Below are 18343 nucleotides of genomic sequence, written 5' to 3'. Positions count from 1 at the left end.
CAGAGCGACACTCCATTTCAAAAAAAATAGGGAGATCGTAGCGAACCAGCTGAAGGAGGAGAAAGATTAATGGTGACATGGTTGAAGAAGGGGGATTGATGGTGGTAGTGGAAGACCAAGAGATGGACAAGGCGAAGGATGCAGAAGCTGCCTGGAAGAAACGGATTCCTTAATCGCTTCATTCATTTCTTCCTCCCTTCTCCCTTCCATCATTTGACACCTTTTCACTGAAATCACTCACTCCATGCTTCAGGCACTGTGGACCCAGAAATGAGCCAGAGATCATCCCCTACCCACCCAGGGCCCCCAGTAAGGACCCAGACACATGCCAGACATCCAGAGGAGGGCATGAGAAACAGACCACAGCACCAGTAAGACTCAGGGCAGGGTTGACTTTTGAGCTGCTCCATGAAGAGCAGGCAAGACAAGGGGATTTAGGCAGAGAGGACGGTGCGTGCAAAGGTCTGGGGATGTGAAAGGTCCTGGTGTACTGGGAGCCATGAAACATCTGGGTAGGTGGCCAGACACAGGGGCACAAAGAGGAGGGGTGAGAAATGGAGCTGAGAAGGTTGCCTGGGTGCACCCAGGTCATGAGGGCTGTTGGGTGTTAACAAGAAAAATAATGCAACATTTATGATCACTGCATGCCAGGTACTGTACTAACTCACTTAACATTTATAACCCTGTAAAGTAGGTCTATTATCATCCCTGCTTTGCTTTGCTTTTCTTTCTTTTTATTTATTTATTTATTTATTTATTTATTTATTTATTTATTTGGAGATGGAGTCTCACTCTGTAGCCCAAGCTGGAGTGCAGTGATACAATCTCAGCTCACTGCAGCCTTCACCTCTGGGGCTCAAGGGATTCTCCTGCCTCAGCCTCCCAAGTAGTTGGGACTAGAGGCATGCACCACCACACCCAGTTAATTTTTTTTTGTATTTTTAGTAGAGATGGGTTTCACCATGTTGCCCTGGGTGGTCTCGAACTCCTGAGCTCAGGTGATCCACCCACCTCAGCCTCCCAAATTGTTGGGATTACAGGTGTGTGCCACCATGCCGGCTCATCTCTGCTTTTTTAACAAGGCAAAGGAGGCTCAGGAAGACAGCAATAAATTACCCAAGATCACTTAGCTGGAAAATGCTCAAGCTGGGACTCAAACACAGGCAGCCTGACCTCAGAGGTTGCAATCCTATTATAGGTCTAAAGATCTGAGTTAGGGAGGTTAGCCATGACCAACCCAGGAGCAATGAGCACCTCCAGCACCCAGACTGTGTTCTCTATCTTCCCTTACTAGCCTTTTATTCACCGTAGGATCTGTAGTGATGTCCCCTCTTTCATTCCCGATATCAGCCACAGGTGTGGGTATTTGCTTTTTTTAAAAAAGAAAAACAAAAACGATTGCTCCCCGTTGATGCTTATGATTTTACTGATCTTTTCAAAGAATCAACTTTTGGTGAGATGGGAGTCTCTAAATACCATTCCCCACTAAAAGAACCTGGGACTCCTTAGAGAAATGGTGGATTCCAGGGCGGGGGCAGGGAAGAACAAGTGAGCCTGGGTCAGAAGGTGAGGAAGTGCTCAAAGGCCGATAGGGCATGTTACAGGGACAGAGGACCCAGCTTGCAGGGGTGCCCAGTGGCCAAACATGGGGCAATTTGAGCATCAAAATAACTGCAAATCAAATATGCTAAAATCCATAAAATCATGAGACTTAAAAGGGGTGGCCAGGGAGTAGGGGAGATAAAAGCAAAAGGAGTTCGTAAAGGAGTGGCAAGAATGGAAAAGAGAGGCAGGATCTGGGATGTGGGCAGAGGGAGAGGGCTCTGGGCGGTGTCCCAGGCAGGGAGGGCCCTGAGAGAGAGCTGGGGAGAATGCTATCAGCGGTGGCCGATGGAGCTGGTGAGGCAGGAGAGGGGCTCTTGAGTGGCTGGAGGGACCAAGTTAGCTGATATGGATGAGGGCGTGGAGGGAGACCCTGCAGAGAGGATCTCTTCTAGCCCAGGGGATAGGGAGGGGTGTTGGGGGAGGATGGAGGAGACTGGGGGAGTGTGAGAGGCTGCGAAAGACTGGAGGAAGAGTGGGAGGAAGAGTGGGAGGAGTGGGAAGAGTGGGGGACATGGTTACAGACTGGGGGGACTGGTGAAGACTGGGGGACACCTGGGGAGACCGTTACAGACTGGGGACAGGGTGGCAGGGAGCAGGGGTCAGGCATGAGGAACCAGGGCAGGCTTGGGCGGGGGTCGGGAGGCGACAGCTGCGGTGCTGGGAGCACTCACCGACGGGGCGCGCTGGCGGCTGCAGCGGGCTGGGCAGGCTGGGAGAGGGTGGGGTCCCGCGAGGATCCGAAGCGCCCGCGGAGCGGCCTGTGCTCGCGGTCCCGTCCGGAGCCGTCTGAGCCGGGTGGGGCCCGGAGCGGGGAGGACGGGAGGGAGGACAGGAGGGAGGGGCGGGACGAGGCGCCCCCCTCAAAACCGGGCGCCCGGCCTCTGGCGCCCCCTTGTGGGGAGTGGGGAAGACGCCTTAGCACGGCGGGCGAGAGCTCCAGCGTCCAGCCTGGGGTTCGAATTCCGCCTCCACCTCCAGCGTTGGGCTGCTCCCCAGTCTGTCTCTCTTCTTAACACGGGAATCACAACAGCAGCAGCAATAATAGTAACAATAACAGGTCGGGCGCCCTGGCTCACGCCTGTAACCCTAACACTTTGGAAGGCCAGGGTGGGAAGATTGCTTGAGGCCAGGAGTCCAAGACCAGCCTGGACAATATAGCGAGACCCCATGTCTATTAAAAATAATAATAAATAATAAAATAATTTAGCCAGGCACAGGGGTGCACACCTGTGATCCCAGCAACTTGGAAAGCTGAGGTGGGAGGATAGCTTGAACCCAGGAGGTCAAGGCTGCAGTGAGCTATGATTGTGCCACTGCACTCCAGCCTGGGTGACAGAGCGAGACCTCACCTCTAAAAAAAATAATAGGACGGGGCGCGGTGGCTCACGCCTGTAATCCCAGCACTTTGGGAGGCCGAGGCGGGTGGATCACTTGAGGTCAGGAGTTCAAGACCAGCCTGGCCAACATGGTGCAAACCCATCTCTACTAAAAATACAAAAAAATTAGCTGGGCGTGGTGGCGGGCGCCTGTAGTCCCAGCTATTTGGGAAGCTGAGGCAGGAGAATCACTTAAACACAGGGGAGGTGGAGCTTGCAGTGATTGCGCCACTGCACTCCAGCCTGGGGACAGAGCAAGACTCCATCTCAAAAATAAATAAATAAACAAAAATTAGCTGGATGCAGGCACGCACCTGTAGTCCTAGCTACTTGGGAGGCTGAGGCTCCCAAGTTCCAGAATCACTGGAACCCAGGAGGCAGAGGTTGCAGTGAGCCAAGATCACGCCACTGCACTCCAGCCTGGGTGACAGAGTGAGAATCCATCGCAAATAAATAAGTAAATATAATATTAATATTAAAACTTAAGGGAGTTGATGAAACTTCTCAGCTGACAACCCTCCCTGGCTCTCCTCTCTCTCAGAGTAAAAGCCGAAGTCCACACCAAGGCCCACAAAGCCTAGCATGATCCACCTACATCTCCCCTGTCCCCCTTCCTCAGGCGGCTCCAACCGCCGTGGCCTCCTCACCATTCCTCAGACACACCCCCAACCCTCCAAGTTCATGGCCTTTGCACTTGCTGACTCCTCTCCATGGAGTACTTTCCCCATAGGGATCTGAATGCCTCACTCTCTCCCCTCCTTCAGGTCCCTGCTCAAATGTCACCTCCTCAGAGAAGTCCTCCAGGATCACCCTGGCTAAGGTAGAACCCACTCTCTACCTCTTATCACTGCCCTATTTTTCTCCACAGCCCTCCCAACCACTCTGCATATTCCACATTTCTCTGCCTAAGGGACTGTCTTTGCCCTGAGAACATGAGCCCCGTGAGGGCTTTGCACAATGCCCAACTCCCTGCAGGGGCTCAGTAAACATTTGTAGAAACAATCCCTAATGTTGACTGAGCCATTCCTATGTGCAGGCACCGCTCTGAGCTCTTTGCATGCATGTATTAGCTCATCGAACCCTCATCATATCTCCAAGAAACAGGAGTTTTGGGGTTTTGGTTTTTGTTTTTGTTTTTGAGACAGTCTTACTCTATCGCCCAGGCTGGAGTGCAGTGGCACGATCTCAGCTCACTGCAACCTCCGCCTCCTGGGTTCAAACTATTCTCCTCCCTCAATCTCCCCAGTAGCTGGGATTACAGGTGCATGCCACCACACTTGGCTAATTTTGTTTTGTTTTGTTTTTTTGAGTCAGAGTCTCGCTCTGTCGCACAGGCTGGAGTGCAGTGGCACGATCTCGGCTCACTGCAAGCTCCGCCTCCCGGGTTCACGCCATTCTCCTGCCCCAGCCTCCCGAGTAGCTGGGATTACGGCGCCCACCACCATTCCCGGCTAATTTTTTGTATTTTTAGTACAGACAGGGTTTCACCATGTTAGCCAAGATGGTCTCGATCTCCTGACCTCGTGATCTGCCCGCCTCGGCCTCCCAAAGTGCTGGGATTATAGGCATGAGCCACTGCGCCCGGCCTAATTTTGTGTTTTTAGCAGACAAGGGGTTTCACCATGTTGGCCTGGCTGGTCTCGAACTTCTGACGTCAAGTGATTTACCCACCTCAGCTTCCCAAAGTGCTGGGATTATAGGCATGAGCCACCATGCCCAACTGAATTGTATGCTTTAAATGGGTGAATTGCATGGCTTCTGAATTATATCTCAATAAAACTGATATTATATATTATATTATTATAATTATAACATTTTATTTATTTTTTCTATTTTTTTTGGAGGTAGACTCTTGCTCTGTCACCCAGGCTGGAGTGCAGTGGCGCGATCTTGGCTCACTGCAACCTCTGCCTCCCGGGCTCAAGCGATTCTCGTGCCTCAGCCTCTCGAGTAGCTGGGATTACAGGCATGCACCAGCAGGCCCAGCCAATAACATGTTACTATAATATTACTATTATATATATAATATATAAAAGGTCTGGAGCTTAATGATAACTTACGTTAATGTTGTTACTGCTAGGAGACAGGCCCTGTTCCAAAAGCATCACCTAAATCATCTCCCTTCCCCCAGGAGGGCAAGTCCTGTTATTATTGTTATTATTATTATTATTGCTATGTCTCAGATGGGAAAGTTGAAATACAAGGAAGTAAAGTCTCAGAGCTGGGTGCAGTGGCTCATGCCTGTAATCCCAGCACTTTGGGAGGCTGGGGCAGGGGATTGCTTGAGGCTAGGAGTTCAAGACCAGCCTGGGCAACATAGTGAGACCCCATCTCTGCAAGATAAAAAAAATCTAAAAATTAGCCGAGTGTGGTGGTGCACACCTGTGGTCCCAGCTACTCGGGAGGCTGAGGTGGGAGGATTACTGGAGCCTAGGAGGCCGAGGCTGCAGTGAGCTGTGATCGCGCCACTGCATTCCAGCCTGGGTGAAAGAAGAAGACCCTGTCTCAAAAAAAAAGAAAGTAGAGTTTGGCCTGCCAAGGTGTGGAAGAACTCGGAGTTGAGCCAGAGTTGTCTGATGGGAGAGTCTTGTTTCACTTCTACCCCAGGGCTTCTCAACCTGTTGCAAAACATTCTGGAGGATCGGCTGGGCGCGGTGGCTCACACCCGTAATCTCAGCACTTTGGGAGGCCGAGGCGGGCGGATCACAAGATCAGGAGATTGAGACCATCCTGGCTAACACGGTGAAACCCTGTCTCTACTAAAAATACAAAAAAATTAGCCGGGCGTGGTGGTGGGCGCCTATAGTCCCAGCTACTCTGGGGGCTGAGGCAGGAGAATGGCGTGAACCCGGCAGGCGGAGCTTGCAGTGAGCCGAGATCGCACCACTGCACTCCAGCCTGGGCGACAGAGTGAGACTCCGTCTCAAAAAAAAAAAAAAAAAAAAAAATTCCGGAGGATCTGTGAACTTAGATGTGGGGGGAAAAAGACAGCTGGAGTTTTCACTAAAATTCAGAGTTTCTGTCAACCACAAATGTTAGCAGCAAAGCACAGCGTCATCAGCAGGACCTGGGTCCCCGCCACCCAGAGGAATCACTGATGCGTTCATCGGTTTGCAGTTGTGGATTTTTTTTTCTTTTTTCTTTTTTTTTTTTGGAAACAGAGTCTCACACTCTTTCCCAGGCTGGAGTGCAGTGGTGCGATCTCAGCTCCCTGCAACCTCTGCCTCCCAGGTTAAAGCGATTCTCATGCCTCAGCCTCCCCAGTAGCTGGGACCACAGGTGCCTACCAACAAGCCTGGCTAATTTTTTGTATTTTTTAGTAGAGACGGGGTTTCACCATGTTGCCCAGGCTGGTCTTGAACTCCTGAGCTCAGGCAATTCACCCGCCTTGGCCTCCCAAAGTGCTAGGATTACAGGCATGAGCCACCGCACCCAGCCCAGTTGTGGATATTTTCAGCGATTGTATACACTCATCGCTCACTGGCCCCACAGCCAGCTCTCTCTAATGAATGCATTGAGGCAGGTTGGCTCACAGCCCAGTCTGCCATGTACTACATCTTTGGGGCCTCAGTTTCCTCACCTGCAAGCTGGGCCTATTAGTTCCCACGCTGGGGCTGCTGTGAGGACCAGATATGCTAACCCATGCGGTTCCCTGTTTAGTAAAGGTTGGTCACTGCTGTTCTGTTCTTCCGCTCGCCTGCAGGCAGTCAGCCTTGCAGAACTGAGTCCCGGAGCCCGTGGAAATTGTGGACGAGTCCTTGTGAGTAATCAGGAGGGGTCTTTCAGGAGAGTCTCTCCGAGAGTTTTGTGATCCAAGGATGTTAAGAAACAGCCATTTAGGCTGGGCGAAGTGGCTCACACTTGTAATCCCAGCACTTTGGGAGGCCGAGGAGGGTGGATCGCTTGAGCCCAGGAGTTTAAGACCAGCCTGGGCAATATGGTGAAACCCTGTCTCTACCAAAAGTACAAAAAAATTAGCCAGGCGTGGTGGCGCATGCCTGTAATTCCAGCTACTTGGGAGGCTGAGGCAGGAGAATGGCTTGAACTCAGGAGGCGGATGTTGCAGTGAGCCAAGATTGTGCCACTGCACTCCAGCCTGGGCGACAGAGTGAGACTCCATCTCAAAAAAAATTATCTATTTATTTATTATTTATCTATTTTTTGAGACGGAGTCTCACTCTGTCACCTAGGCTGGAGTGCAGTGGTGGGATCTCAGCTCACTGCAAGCTCCGCCTCCCGGGTTCACACCATTCTCCTGCCTCAGCCTCCTGAGTAGCTGGGACTACAGGCACCAGTCACCACGCCCGGCTAATTTTTTTGTATTTTTAGTAGAGACGGGGTTTCACTGTGTTAGCTAGGATGGTCTCGATCTCCTGACCTCATGATCCGCCTGCCTCGGCCTCCCAAAGTGCTGGGATTACAGGCATGAGCCACCCCGCCCAGCCAAAATTTTTTTTTTTTTTAAGAAACAGCTGTTTTCCTATAGTGCTTTATTTCACACGTGGAGGGAGTAGTTCTAGAGCTAGGAAAGGGGATGGTCCATCCCTCTGAGACCCCAGATATCAATTTCCCACCCACATACAACCCCAGGGGGCCCATTGCCATGGCTCATGCCTGTAATCCCACCACTTTGGGAGGCTGATGCGGGAGGACTGCTATAGGCCAGTGAGACCCCTGTCTCTACAAAAAATAAAAATAAAACAATAAAAATTAGCCAAGTGAGGTGGTATGCACCTACTCAGAAGGCTGTGCCAGGAGGATCCTTTGAGCCCAGGAGTTCGAGGCTTTAGTGAGCTGTGATTGCACCACTGCACTCCAGCCTGGGTGACCCAGTGAGACCTTCTCTCTCTCTGTCTGTCTGTCTGCCTCTCTCTCTCTCTAAGACAAGGTCTGGCTGTATCGCCCAGGCTGAAGTGCAAGCAGTGGTGCAATCTCAGCTCACTGCAACCTCCATCTCCTGGGCTCAAGCAATCCTCTCATCTCAGCCTCCCCAGTAGCTGGGATCACAGACGCACACCACCACACCCAGCTAATTTTTTTTTTTTTTTTGTAAAGACCGGATTTCGACATTTTGGCCAGGCTAGTCTCGAACTTCTGACCTTAGGTGATCCACCTGCCTCTGCCTCCCAAAGTGCTGGCATTACAGGAGCAAGCCACTGTGCTGGGCCGAGACCCTGTGTCCTAAAAACAACCAAAAAATAAACAAACAAAACACTTCCAGGGGCCTGCAGAGAAACAGGGTGCATCACCCCGGTCCAGCCGCCACAACCACCCACCTGGACTCACAGCAGTTGCCTCCTCGCTGCGCTTGGTTTCCACCCTTACCCCTCGTCTATTCCCGCAAACAGCCACCAGAGGGTGCTGGGGAACCTAAGTTCGCTCAGGGCCCTCCTGAAGCTCCCGTCTCAGTGTAACAGCGAAATCATCCCCATGGAGGACACGGTCCCGCACGATGAGGTGCCCTTTGTTCCCCCTCGGACCTCACCTCCAGACCTCTCCCCATCACTTATGGGCTGCAGCCGCATTGGCTTTTTCGCTGTTCCTCGACACTCCAGGCAGGCTCCTGCCACAGGGCCTTTGCACTGGCGGTTCCCTCTGCCTTGGATGCTCTTCCCTGAGAGCTCTCCTGTGGCTTCCTCCCTCTTTTCCTGCATGTCTCTGCTCAAATATCACCTCCTCAAAGAATCTTTCCCTTCCCACCTGATCCCGAGGGCCCTGATGTGCAGTTGGGCAGGTTGTTCACTGCACAAGGCACTCACTGAATGGGTGAGAGGGGACTGGAGCCCAGCTCATGCTCTGCTCTTCAAATTCTGGGCCCAGGAGAGAGGGGTGCCCTTTTCTAGTTCACACAAAGGCATACTAGGGCCTGACAGCTGTCTTGCCCACTTGCGGAGTCCTAATTAGGGAGAGTCAGGCTGCTGAGAATGCAGGAAAGCAAAAAGATAAAGCAGCTAAGTTACAGGTCTGCCTTTCTTTACTGTCCAGGACATAGCCCTCCTATACAAATAACTCAATCTTCCTGCGCCCAAGTATCACCAGACACCTGCAAGTGAGCTCACTGTAACCCTGGCATTATCAGTACTGCACAAAGCCCTCTTCAGCACACAACATGAACTCTCCTATATGCCGGGCATGGTGGCTCACGCCTGTAATCCCAGCACTTTGGGAGGCAGAGGCAGACGGATCACTTGAGGTCAGGAGTTCGAGACCAGCCTGGCCAACATGGTGAAACCCCATCTCGACTAAAAATACAAAAATTAGCTGGGCATGGTGATGGGTGCCTGTAATCCCAGCTACTCAGGAGGCTGAGGCAGGAGAATTGCTTGAACCCGAGATGCGGAGGTTGCAGTGAGCTGAAATCATGCCACTGCACTCCAGCCTGGGTGACAGAGCGAGACTCTATCTAAAAAGCAAATGAAAAAACCAACTCCATCCTATACAACCCCCAGCAAGCCTTTGTTTCCTTGCAGTCAGCTTCTCCCTGGCTGTGTTGCCCATTGCAACTTTGCAATATATTTTCCTACTTTATTTCATAAATCTGCCTTTTTTTTTTTTTTGATGGAGTCTCACTCTGTTGCCCAGGCTGGAGTGCAGTGGTGCAGTCTTGGCTCACTGTAACCTCTGCCTCCTGGGCTGAAGTGATCCTCCCAGTTCCCAAGTAGCTGAGACTACAGGTGTGCATCACCACGCCCTGCTAATTTTGTATTTTTATTTATTTATTACCTTTTTTCGATGGAGTTTCACTCTTGTTACCCAGGCTGGAGTGCAATGACGCGATCTCAACTCACTGCAACCTCTGCCTCCTGGGTTCAAGTGATTCTCTTGCCTCAGCCTCCTGAGTAGCTGGGATTACAGGTGCCTGCCGCCACACCTGGCTAATTTTTGTATTTTTTAGTAGAGGCAGGGTTTTGCCAAGTTGGCCAGGCTGGTCTCAAGCTCCTGACCTCAGGTCATTTACCCACCTCAGCCTCCCGAAGTGCTGGGATTACAGGCGTGAGCCACTGCACCTAGCCAATTTTTGTATTTTTAGTAGAGATGGGGTTTCACTGTTAGTCAGGCTGGTCTTGAACTCCTGACCTCAAGTGATCCGCCCACCTCCCAAAGAGTTGGGATTACAGGCGTGAGCCCATAAATCTGCTTTTTTTTTTTTTTTTTTAACCTACCACTGTCTTGGTAAATTCTTTTACCCCCACACCACCAGCCCAGATAATTGTCACTCACTTGTGACACCCACCTCCTTACCCTGCATTACGGATTGAGTTGTTCTGTCCTCTCAAAATATAGGCTGATGTCCTAACCCTAGTGCCTGTGAATGTAATTTTATTTGGAATCAGGGTCTGTGATCTGAAGAAAGCTAGAAGGGCTGGGCGCGGTGGTTCACGCCTGTAATACCAGCACTTTGGGAGGCTGAGGCCGGTGGATCATGCCATCAGGAGATTGAGACCATCCTGGCTAACACAGTGAAACTCCGTCTCTACTAAAAATACAAAAAATCAGCTGGGCGTGGTGGCACATGCTTGTAGTCCCAGTTACTCGGGAGGCTGAGGCAGGAGAATCACTTAAACCCTGGAGGCAGAGATTGCAGTGAGCTGAGATCGTGCCACTGCACTCCAGCCTGGGCGACAGAGCAAGACATCTGTCTCAAAAAAAGAAAAAGAAAAAGAAAGCTAGAAGAAAAAAAAAAGGGAATCAGGATCTTTGCAGATATGATTAAGTTATGACAAGGGCATACTGGTAGGATGGGCAAAACTCCAATATGACTGATGCCCTTAGAAGAGAAGAGATACAGTGGGAAGTCAGCCAGAGATTGGACTGATTCAGCCACAAGCCAAGGAGAACCTGGGGCCACCAGAAACTGGCAGAGACAAGGAAGGATCCTTCCCTAGCACCTCTGGAGTGGGCATGGCCCTGATGCCACCTTGTTTTCAGACTTCAGGCCTCTAGGGCTGTGGGAGAATAAATATCTGTTGTTTTAAGCTGCCCTATTTGGGGCATTTTGTTATAGCAGCTTGAGGGGACTAATACACCTAGCATGATTTTTTTTCTTCTTTTTTTTTGTTGGTCGGGGGATAGAGTCTCACTCTGTTGCCCAGGCTGGAGTGTCAGTCTCGTCTCACTGCAACCTCCATCTCCTGGGTTCAGGCGATTCTCCTGCCTCAGCCTCTGAAGAAGCTGGGACTACAGGCGTGTGCCACCATGCCAGCTAATTTTTGTATATATATATATTTTTTATAAGTAGAGATGGGGTTTCACTATGTTGGCCAGGCAGGTCTCGAACTCCTGACCTCAGGTGACCCACTCGATTTGGCCTCCCAAAGTGCTGGGATTACAGGTGTGAGCCACCGTGCCTGGCCTGATTCTTCTTTATATGGGCATCTGACACTGTATACATTTACAGTGGACCCTCACTATTTGCAAATGCCATATTTGTGCATTTATCTGCTCATCAAAACTTCTTTGTAACCCCCAAGTCAAGACTCTCAACACACACACGGCAGCAAAATATCAAGTTGCCCAACACAGACGTTCGTTCCCAGCTGAGGTTGAATAAGGCGACATTCTGCCCTCGTTTTGGCTCTCGTACCATAAACACGCGTCCTTTTCTTGGTTTATCTAGTCCCACGCTTTTCACATTTTTGTGCTTTTTGTTGGTGACTCATTGTTTAAAATGGGCCCAAGCGTACAGCTGAAGTGCGGTCTAGTGACCTTAAAGCACCAAGAAGCTGTGATGTGCCTTTGGAGAAAAGATAAAATATATGTGTGAAATAGGCTTGCTCCAGGTTCCAGTTATAATGCTGTTGGCATGACTTCAATGTGAATGAATCAACAATATAAATGAAATAAGGTATCTTTAGGGCTGGGCGTGGTGGCTCACGTCTGTATTCCCAGCACTTTGAGAGGCCAAGGCCAGAGGATCACTCGAGCCGTGGAGTTCCAGACCAGCTTGGGCAACATAGTGAGATCCCATTGCTACAGAAAGATTAAAAAAAAAAATAGCTAAGCGTGGTGGTGCGCCTATAATCCCAGCTACTCGGGAGGCTGAGGTGGGAGGATCACTTGAGCCTGGGAGATCAAGGCTGCAGTGAGCCACGATCGTGCCACTGCACTCCAGCCTGGGTGACAGAGTGAGCCCGTCTCAAAAATACATAAAGAAGTGTTTTTAAACAGCAACACATGTAAACTAAGGTGATGTATTGACTGAACTGTGGTGATCAGAGGCCCTTAGAAACCTAACCCTGTCTCCCTGGGGGCAATGGCTCAGTATTCACTAATTCTCAGAGTGTATGCAGAGATTATAGAACCTTACCGGAAATAAGAAGAACTGGCTTGATCTGGCTTAGCTGTTTACCACCCGCCTTCCCCACTAACAAGTCAGCTTACCGGCTTAGCAGGGACTCTTGTCTGCCTTGTTCATGTTGAACCCCCTGAGCCTAGAACGGGGCCTGGTACTCAGCAGGTGCTCAACAGATGCATGCGGAAGAAGGCCTCACAATCCCAGATCCAAACACTCCCCCACCCTCACAAACCCAAAAGCAATGGGCCAAGGGGGCATGAGTACAGTTTTAAAAAAAGGATCGGTTTTTAATTTACAAGAGTTCTAAATGTACAGAATTCTCCTTTAAAAAAATCGTTATACACAATAAATACAGTACAAAAAAATTTATCTTACAGTACTAGTTTTGTCTCCGAGATTTCAAAATCTGGCGCGGGCGGCTGGAGGCAGGAAGAACAGAGGGAAGACTAGCTGGGGAGAGGTTCGGGGGAGAGGAAGACCCCAGTTTCTTGTTTTGCTCAGATTTCAAAGTCGAGGGGTGGGCGTTCGAAATCTCTCACTCACTTGTGCACACACACACACACACAGGTCACGGAGCTGGACGTGCGGATGTCACACGGGTGCCTGCGGGCACAGCACGCTGGGAGGCTGGCTCCCCCACCCCCTCTCCGGTTTTGTTTGACAGCCTGTTGGGGGCGGCGGGGAGAGGCTGAGACTGTCTGGAAGGACCCTGCCAGCTCCCAGCACCCTCCACCATCTGAGAAGCCACACAGACAAGACAGGCACCCGGAGCGTTGGCATCAACCCGGTGGCCCCATCCCTGGCAAACACATGCGCGTGTCCCCCGGACAGAGGGGCAGAGTGTGCCAGGAAATGGGAAGAAACAGGAACTGACACAGCACTTTGCCCCTCCTTTGGCAGGGGAGACGTTTTACATCACAGCCCCCTCCCTAAATCCACGCCCACCCCCCAGCAACCCAGCTGAAGCAGGCGGCAGGGAAGGAGGCCTTTGTGACTCAAATAACTTAGGCAAGAAAAACCGTCAGGGGATCCCCGGCTCGAGTCCCCAGGAGGCTGAGGGCGGACACCCGACTGTCCCGGCGTCTTCGGGAGGAGGGGACGGGGAAGGGGAGGCGGCCCGGTGTTATCTGGTCAACGTCCTGGCGCCGAGGCCACCGTTGTGACTGGAGGGTGGGTAGGCCTCGGGCCTGTGCAGGGGCGGCGGGGATGCGGGGGTGCCGGCCGAGGCAGCGTGGGGGTACGAGGGCGCGGGCGTCCGGCCGGGGGCCTGCTGCAGGTTCAGGATGCTGTCGATGGCGCTCTGCAGGTGCTCGGTGAGCGTGTCATCCTGCGGGCTGTCGCTGGAGAAGCTGGCCTGGTCCACGTCGGGCGACTCGGACTTGCGCCGCTTGGCAGGGGGCAGCCCGGGCGCCTCCCAGTCGGGGTCCCCGGTGCCTTGGGCGGCGCTGGCTGCGGGCTCTGGCGGGGGGCCCTTCAGCATACGCTGGTACAGCTCGTCCTCCACGGCCGCCAGCTCGCGGATGAGCCCGCTGGTGGCCTCGTCCACTTTGGCGGGCAGCGGCGCCGGGCTGCCTCCCCGTGCCCTGCCTGCGGGCGTCCCCTCCGGCGCGCCAGGGCCCCCCACGTTCTCGCGGTAGGTCTTGCGCAGTGGCAGGCGCGGGCAGTGCGGGGCGGTGCCCAGGGGCTTGCGCTCGGGGGCGGCAGGCGGCGGGTGGTCCACCGTGCCGTTCATCTGGCCCGTGGGCGGCGGTGGTGGTGGCGGCCGTGGCGGGGGCTCGGCCACCTTGAGGGTAGCGGGGGGTGGCGGGGGCTGGTGCACGGGGTCCAGGGCCGTGTTGTGCACGACCTTGCTGAGCCCGGCTTCCTGCTTGATCTTGAGCTTGAGCCCGATGCGGCTCCGGGCCTCGTAGGTCTTGATGGGCGGGCGGTTGCGGGAGGGCATGGGGCCGTCCTCGTCGGCGTCCAAGGAGGAGGCGGCAGAGGAGGAGGAGGAAGAGGAGGACAGGGAGGAGGACGCCCGGGCCCAGGTGACCGAAGGGGAGCCGCCTGCCCCGCCGTGCCGGATCACAAGCTTGGTGGGCAGGTGTGGAGGGGGCTGGGTGGAGGCCCCGGGAGCTGAAGACGACAGGGGGCCGTGGCCGGGAAGCCGATGACCCTCGGAAGAGGCTGCGATGGGGAGGCCGAGCGAGCGGGAGGAAGACACGTACTCGTCTGCAGAATCGGGGCAAAGAAAACCCGCGGGGTTAGGATGAGGACCCCCCGACCGAGCTGGGAGGAGCTGTGTGCAGTGAGCACCTACTACCTGCCAGGCACCAGACTGCACCCTGGACCCTCCAATCCTCAGGATAGGCTTGGTGAGACCCTCTTCAGCAAGGCCCAAATTCCCCCAACTCTAAAACCACTGTGCCTGGCACAGCGCCACGAGCCACGTGGGGCTCATTCAGACATAAGTAAATTAAGAGAATACAAAACAAGGCTCAGGCCTGTAATCCCAGCACTTTGGGAGGCCAAGGGAGGGGGATCGCTTGAGCCCAGGAGTTTGAGACCTGCCTGGCCACAGTAGTGAGACCCCTGTCTCTACAAACAAACAAACAAAAAAACAATAAATAAAATATGAAGTTCTATTGGACAGCACTGCTCTAATTATATACATAACTTTTTAAAAATGGGGCTAAGGAGGTATCTAATTTCAAAATCTGGTCCGAAATGACATGAGGTTTTTTGTTTGTTTGTTTGTTTGTTTTTTTGAGACAGTCTCAATCTGTTGCCCAGGCTGGAGTGCAGTAGCGCCATCTCACCTCACTGCAACCTCCGCCTCCTGGGTTCAAGCGAGTCTCCTGCCTCAGCCTCCCAAGTAGCTGGGATTATAGGTGCCAGACACCACACCTGGCTAATTATTGTATTTTTAGTAGAGACAGGGTTTCGCCACGTTGCCCAGTCTGGTCTCACACTCCTGACCACAGGTGATCGCCCGCCTCAGCCTCCCAAAGTGCTGGGATTACAGGTGTGAGCCACCACACCCGGCTACATGAGGTTATTTATGGTCATGATTTATCTCAACTACTCTGGATACCCATCGATTTCACTCCAGAAATACTAGTGTGTTTGATCACACAGTGCTTCCCCAAACCCACTGGGGGTAAATCAGAAGACAGCATTGAGGTAGCTCATTGCCTTTCTTTTTTTTTGAGACGGAGTCTCGCTCTGTCGCCCAGGCTGGAGTGAGCTCATTGCCTTTCTAAAAGCAAAAAGATTCCAGAACATATCAGGCCCCGAGGGTGTCAGATAAGAGATTGTAAGCTGATCATCATAACCCCCACTTTACAAAATGAGAATACAGAGACACAGAGAAGGTAAGTAACTTGCCCAAGGTCACACAGTTAGTAAGTGGCAGAGCCAGGATTTAAACCAAGACTCCAGCATCGAGCCCCTAACCACGGAACTACCCTTCCTCTCCTACCCTAGAGACTTCAGACTCGCTCCTGGCCCCTCCTTCACTATGGCCACCCCTTTGCACTCATTTAAGTACCAATGACTACTTTTTCAAAATTAAGGTCCAGAGCTCGACGTAAAAAGCCTGCGCCTGGCAGCACAAAGCAGGGACCATGCTTTTATCCAGGGAAGCCCTGGAGTTGGAATGTGGGCAAAGGCTAAGGGAATATTCTGGAAACTCTGGCAGCTGGGATCTGCCTGTACCGTTTCCTGCAGACAGGAGACTAGAGTGAGGCCAGCGAGCCACCTAAGGTGCAACACTTAAGGAGGTGCTCACTCTCAGGGTCCCCAAGCAAAGGACTGGCACCCAAGAGTGGGCGTTACCTTATATATTTTGCAACCTAGGCGCCTGCTCTCCTGTTTTGTGTCCCACGGGGGTGGCAGAAATATTCCCCCCATCCCAGAGTGGTGGGGGTGGAAGGGCCACACAGGGATGGAGGAAGATGGATGTGGGCTATCTGGTCTGAGAGGCGGGAGGTCAGGGGAGGCACAGCTGCCAGCAGGAAGGTGGAGCTGGGGCACCGCCTAGTGGTGGAGTGAGGTAGGGCCACACACCCACTCCCCGCCCTGAATCTAACTCTTCTGCCCAGGTGGGGTGGGGGCACCTCTCCCTCCCCTCCCCTCTCACTCCCCCCTCTCACCCGGCTTCTCCTTGGCCAGCTGTTTATCCAAGGCAAGGGTGGTCTTCTCCTCCTGAATGAACATTCGGTCGATCATTACCATCTCCGCTGAGGGGCTCACCCTCTGGGGTGGGGGAAAAGACGACGTGCGAGTGAACCAGCAAGAAGGGGGAAGGGGCGCGAGCGACGGGGACGATGCGTGCAAGGTCCAAACTGTCCTTGTGATGGGAGCTCCCGCCTCCCTCCCAACCTCCCTCCCGGGGCTAGGAGGGGCGGGAGGCTCCACCTTGCCCAGAGCGGGTGAGGGAAAGGGGCAGTGTCCCAGCGAGGAGGAGCCCAGAGGCGAGGAAGGCGACTCTGACCCTACCCGGGACTCCTCCAGGAGCAGGAGCCGATATTTATTGAGCATGGCCTGGGTGCGTTTCAGCAGCTGCGTGGAGACCGTCTCAAACTCCTCGTCCACTGCGAGGAAGGGAAGAGAGGCAAGGGCGGAGATGTTGGGGGCGGCCGCGGATGCGCAGGAAGGAGGGCGGGGCAGGGTCAGCATAGCGCACCGTGGACCTGCGGCTCCACACTGGCGACGCCCCGCCCCACGGGCTGGGGTCCCCTGGGACATATAGGGCCGTGTCCTGGGGAGGCCTCACCTTTGTGGTAGTCACTGGGGGAGGGGAGGGCGCCCTGGTAGACATGGTAGGGCAGGAGGCGATGCAGGGCGTCCTCAAAGGAGGGGAAGGCCGTCTTGTAGTCGGGGTGCAGGACGGAGCCCTGGTGTTTGTGCAAATGCTCCAGGAAACTGCGGGTGGAAAGGGGAGAGACCACACACGGCGGAGGGTGGGGGGGACGGGTGAGGGCCAGGGGAAGTCCCTGAACCCTCAGCCCCAGGCCGCAACTGAACACAACAGCGGGAAGGGGAATACTTGGGCAGTGGTGTTCCCATGTACTGAACGTGCTTGTTCCATCTCACTGAGTCCCTGGGGCCGACCAAAGCAGTGCTATCGCTATCCCCATTTTACAGAAAGGGAAGGTGAGGTCGAGGAAGTGAAGTCACTCCTCTCCAAAGCACGTAAGGGAGGAAGAGCAGAGCGGGAAGTGAGGCCAGAGCCTGGAAGCTGCTATTCTGCCTCCTGCCACCTGGGGCCAGTGTGGCTCCACCGTGCCTCCTCCAAAGTGCAGCCTTCGGGAAGAAGGGAGGGAGGCTGGATCCTGTCTTCTCACGGGCCGCTTTTGTAGCCCATGTTACAATGGGTTTTGTCTGTTGGCAGTGTGACTGTCTCCCCCACCAGGCAGGCCCAACTCCACCCTCGGCTAAAAACCAGCAGCCTCTCTGCACTGTGGGGGCAGGGACTTTGTGTCACTTACTCCTGTGTTCCCAACATGGGGCTCAGGCCTGGGCACTGAGTGGGGACTTAATTCACACTCCTAGGCCAAGCAGAGGCTCACGCCTGCAATCCCAGCGCTTTGCGGGGCCGAGGCAGAAGGATTGTCTGAGCCCAGGAGTTCAAGGCCAGCCTGGGCAACACAGCAAGACCCTGTCTCTACAAAAATTATTTAAAAATTAGCCGAGTGTGGTGGCACGTGCCTGTAGTCCCAGCTACTCAGGAGACTGAGGTGGGAGGATCACTTGAGACTAGGAGTTTCAGACCAACCTAGGCCGGGCATGGTGGCTCACACTTGTACTCCCAGCACTTTGGGAGGCTGAGATGGGTGGGTCACCTGAGGCCAGAAGTTCAAGACCAGACTGGCCAACATAATGAAACCCCGTCTCTACTAAAAATACAAAAATTAGGCAGGTGTGGTGGCATGCACCTGTAATCTCAGCTACTCGGGAGACTGAGGTAGGAGAATCACTTGAACCCAGGAGGCAGAGGTTGCAGTGAGCCGAGATTGTACCACTGCACTCCAGCCTGGGTGACAGAATGAGACTTCGTCTCCAAAAACAAAACAAAACAAAAACA

The 18343-nt window shown here is 53.4% G+C and overlaps 2 protein-coding genes across 3 annotated transcripts in view, besides 5 other annotated features; both read right to left on the bottom strand.

Moving 5' to 3' along the window:
• EHD2 (EH domain containing 2) overlaps positions 1 to 2393 on the bottom strand; it is a 29713-nt gene extending 27320 nt beyond the window's left edge. The window contains exon 1 of the mRNA NM_014601.4: positions 2277 to 2393. The gene's annotated coding sequence lies outside the window, so the exon portion shown is untranslated. The remainder of the gene's footprint in view (positions 1 to 2276) is intronic.
• Positions 2417 to 2516: a silencer, noted in NCBI's record as "silent region_10867". NCBI's record gives its function as "represses an Ori minimal core promoter by ATAC-STARR-seq in GM12878 lymphoblastoid cells {active_cell/tissue: GM12878}" and the evidence as "EXISTENCE:reporter gene assay evidence [ECO:0000049][PMID:35858748]".
• BICRA (BRD4 interacting chromatin remodeling complex associated protein) overlaps positions 12538 to 18343 on the bottom strand; it is a 95082-nt gene continuing 89276 nt past the window's right edge. For both annotated transcript variants that reach the window (NM_015711.3, NM_001394372.1), the window contains exons 12-15: positions 17033 to 17181; positions 16756 to 16850; positions 16410 to 16512; positions 12538 to 14487 (exon numbers count right to left, since the gene is read on the bottom strand). In NM_015711.3, the coding sequence (NP_056526.3) occupies positions 13400 to 14487; positions 16410 to 16512; positions 16756 to 16850; positions 17033 to 17181 (1435 nt within the window). In that variant the 3' untranslated portion in view covers positions 12538 to 13399. The remainder of the gene's footprint in view (positions 14488 to 16409; positions 16513 to 16755; positions 16851 to 17032; positions 17182 to 18343) is intronic.
• Positions 16149 to 16443: an enhancer, noted in NCBI's record as "tiled region #9389; K562 Activating DNase unmatched - State 12:CtcfO". NCBI's record gives its function as "activates a minimal TATA promoter and a strong SV40 promoter by Sharpr-MPRA in K562 cells {active_cell/tissue: K562}" and the evidence as "EXISTENCE:reporter gene assay evidence [ECO:0000049][PMID:27701403]".
• Positions 16149 to 16717: a biological region, named in NCBI's record as "Sharpr-MPRA regulatory region 9389".
• Positions 16177 to 16717: an enhancer, noted in NCBI's record as "H3K4me1 hESC enhancer chr19:48202355-48202895 (GRCh37/hg19 assembly coordinates)". NCBI's record gives its function as "activates a minimal SCP1, AML or CMV promoter by ChIP-STARR-seq in primed H9 embryonic stem cells {active_cell/tissue: H9 hESC(primed)}" and the evidence as "EXISTENCE:reporter gene assay evidence [ECO:0000049][PMID:30033119]".
• Positions 16718 to 17260: an enhancer, noted in NCBI's record as "H3K4me1 hESC enhancer chr19:48201812-48202354 (GRCh37/hg19 assembly coordinates)". NCBI's record gives its function as "activates a minimal SCP1, AML or CMV promoter by ChIP-STARR-seq in primed H9 embryonic stem cells {active_cell/tissue: H9 hESC(primed)}" and the evidence as "EXISTENCE:reporter gene assay evidence [ECO:0000049][PMID:30033119]".

The sequence above is a fragment of the Homo sapiens genome, chromosome 19 (assembly GCF_000001405.40).
Source record: "Homo sapiens chromosome 19, GRCh38.p14 Primary Assembly".
Taxonomy (NCBI): Eukaryota; Metazoa; Chordata; class Mammalia; order Primates; family Hominidae; genus Homo; species Homo sapiens.
This window is presented reverse-complemented; position numbering and strand designations above follow the sequence as displayed.